The 3,143-nt window shown below is 36.9% G+C and overlaps 1 long non-coding RNA gene across 1 annotated transcript; it reads right to left on the bottom strand.

The window, feature by feature from the left end:
- Positions 1-313: 313 nt before the first annotated feature.
- Positions 314-2,543, bottom strand: LOC107986232 (uncharacterized). The gene is made up of 3 exons (XR_001741515.2): positions 2,098-2,543; positions 1,894-1,956; positions 314-964 (listed from the first exon to the last, which is right to left on the bottom strand). It is a non-coding gene; the product is annotated as an uncharacterized LOC107986232 (long non-coding RNA).
- Positions 2,544-3,143: the final 600 nt, after the last annotated feature.

Raw genomic sequence — 3,143 nt, 5'->3', positions numbered from 1 at the left:
TATATATATTCCCCACCCCTATTTCTACTTCCCAGAGTTAGTCATTCTCAAAAATGTATATATATACACATACATATACATGTGTATATATATACATTTTTGAGAATGACTAACTCTGGGAAGTAGAAATAGGGGTGGGGAAATAGGAGATATTTTTTTCTCCACAACCTTCTACAGAGTTTAATTTTACAAACCAGTATATATTAACTTTATAATAAAATGTCTTTAAAACCACATTAAGGATGATAGACACATACTCTGACTCTCAGGGAATGACATCACAGAGGGGAACAACCCTGCTTTTGGTTGCTTAGAAGGAGACAGAATCTACAGCCTACTGGATAACTCTTCTGACCTACTCACAGTTTTTAGGCTCTGGAGGAAATGCTGTCATGACTGTCATTTTTCTGTCAAAATCCATCTAGGTGTCATAATTGGCAGAAGTGTCTGTCACTCCAGCTGTGTCCCTATGTACATAGATTGAAAATGATCACCTCCAGTGAAATATTGGCACAAATTTCAGCATCTCTCCTGCCACTCTGTAGAAGAACACAGTCTAAAAGTGAAACCTGTAGATGCCTATTATATGAAGCTTAGCATCAAAAGAAAGGTCACCAAGACAACTGACATTTTATTTTTTTCATATTTCTGGGGTCACATCTTCTTGACATCAGGATAATTGTTTGAAAACTGAGAAATCCAATGTGGTTTCCTACGTGGTGCCAAGTATCTCATATTGGCTTATTTTTTTTTCTGGATTGGTAAATATTTTGGTGAAATGTAGACACAACTGATCTGATAGTAACATTTGCTCCATGAAAGTACAAAATTTGATTTATTTTCATAACTTTCACATTAAGACAAGCACTGGAATATGAATCAGAAGACTACATTCCTGCCACTTACAAATTGTGCAACCTTGGGATAGGAGTATTCTTAAATCTCTGCTTAGTCTTCTCCACAGCTGCAAAGATGTGACAGTGAGCAAATAACAAGAAAGCTCTTTGAAAAGTAAAAAAGGGTTATAAAAATGAAAGCATTATTAAATAACCTCAGCTTGATTGAAAATTAAAAATAACATGTTATTTCTTTTGTATTATAATAATAATATCCTAAGTTAGACTTTAAGCTCTATAAAAAAGGTCAATACTGAACTGGCTCACCATTGCTATCTCCAAACCCAGCACAGTGTCTGACATATATAGGCTATATCAGTCAGGGATCAACCAGAAAAGCAGTACTACTATGACTAATGTAAAATAAAGTAGCTAGATCTTTCCTCTGCATCTGATGTGGGGCCTGAGATTGCAATATGCAAGCTGGAACACTAGTTGGGAAGAACAGCTGGATGCAAAGTGGGAGAGAGCAAGGATAGACTGGAACCAGTATCTGTCTCTCACTACCTCCAACCTCGACAACACAGGTAACCTGCAAGAGAAGCTAATCCCCATTGACATAGAGCTAGGAAACAGAATGTCCAGAGCAGACAATCCAGCAAGAACTGGAGAAGCTGCAGACCCAGGTGCTATCCACCTGGCCACCCAGGTAGGCCAAGCAGATCAGTGACAGCATGCACAGGTTGCCGTCATGACTGGCACCATGCACCAAATTTCAGAGCATGCAAAAATGGCTGTGCTTCTTTTCTGTTTCCCAAATCTTATGAAAATTTCTCTTGTGGACAACCCTTACCCTGAAACATACAGGAAAGTGAAGTCTGGAAAACATACTTCCAGTTTAGTGAAGCTGACATAATACAAAGCCACACATAGGCACTTAGTATGTTCTTCTTAAGTAAATATATTTCAATATACAAATATAAAATTTTAAAGTAAAAATGAATATGTATGAGATTTATATGGATATGTGGAAGAAGACACAATGTATAGTCATCACCAAGATTGGAGGCTGTCCACCTGAGGCAGGGCACCTGCTGCTCTGTTGTCCTGTTGGCATCTTCTGAAGTATGACCAGAGTGAAGAGTCATTATCAAAGGTGGTCATCCGTTGACAAAATAGAGACATAAGAACATTTGGTAAGTTTCAAAATACCCTCAAAACTAAAAGTAGAGGAGAAAATACAATGAGGTTTCCTACTTACCATCTCAGCAGGGGAGTCAGTCTACACAGGCCTGGGTGTAAAGCACTCTATCATTTCCCATGTCTTACAACTTCCCTCATGTTGTTAATTTTTTTCCTATTTTCCTGAGAACTTAAAATGAAAAACAATAGAATTTAGCTTTATTTGAGGTTCAGGAAAAAAAGGAAGCTTGGGAGCAATCAAGTAATCAACTTTTCATTCAATCTAATATCTTTTACTCTTCACTATCATTACATTATTTTTTAGACTTATATATAGTTCATGGAGATTTCCTTATTCCTTTAGGTCTTGACATAACTTTTCAATCCATGATGGGTAATCAATCAAGAAACCTAATTAAATACAAAATATAAAATAAATATATTCCATTAGCCCATAGAATAGGTCACCATCATAAATAAATTATGGGCTGGATGTGACAGTTTACACTTGTAATCCCAACAGTTTGGGAGATTGAAGTGGGAAGATCACTCGAGGCCAGGAATTCAAGAGCAACCTGGGAACCTTAGTGAGACCTTATCTCTATAAAAAGAATTTTATAATTAGCCAGACTTGGTGGTGAACTCTTGTAGTTCCAGCTACTCTGGAGGCTGCGGTGGGAGGATTGCTTGAGACCAGGAACTGGAGGCTGCAGTGAGCTATGATTGTGCCACTTCACCCCAGCCTGGGCAACAGAGTGAGTCCCTGACTCCATTTTTTAAAAAATGAAATAAAATTCTGTACTTTAAACATTCCTAATATTTTGACCACAATTAATTGATTTTGTTAACAGGAAGATGCTTTTAACTTACTGTATATATGAAAATAGAATTTGACTGGAAATGTCTTAAACAAATATTATTGGGTCTTTGTTATGTGCAGGTATATGCTAAATGTTGTTCTATTATTTAATCCCACAATAGCCCTGTGAGATTGCTATTACTATTTCTGTTTTGTAGATGAAAATTTCTGATATACTGCCAATGATTTGCCCCAAAACACTTAACTCCCTAGTAGGTAAATCAGAATTTGTACCTATCTCTGACTCATTCTAACGTGCATGTTTC

The sequence above is a fragment of the Homo sapiens genome, chromosome 4 (genome assembly GCF_000001405.40).
Source record: "Homo sapiens chromosome 4, GRCh38.p14 Primary Assembly".
In the NCBI taxonomy this organism is placed as follows: domain Eukaryota; kingdom Metazoa; phylum Chordata; class Mammalia; order Primates; family Hominidae; genus Homo; species Homo sapiens.
Note: the sequence above shows the minus strand (reverse complement) of the source record. Positions and strands in the feature narration are given on the sequence as shown.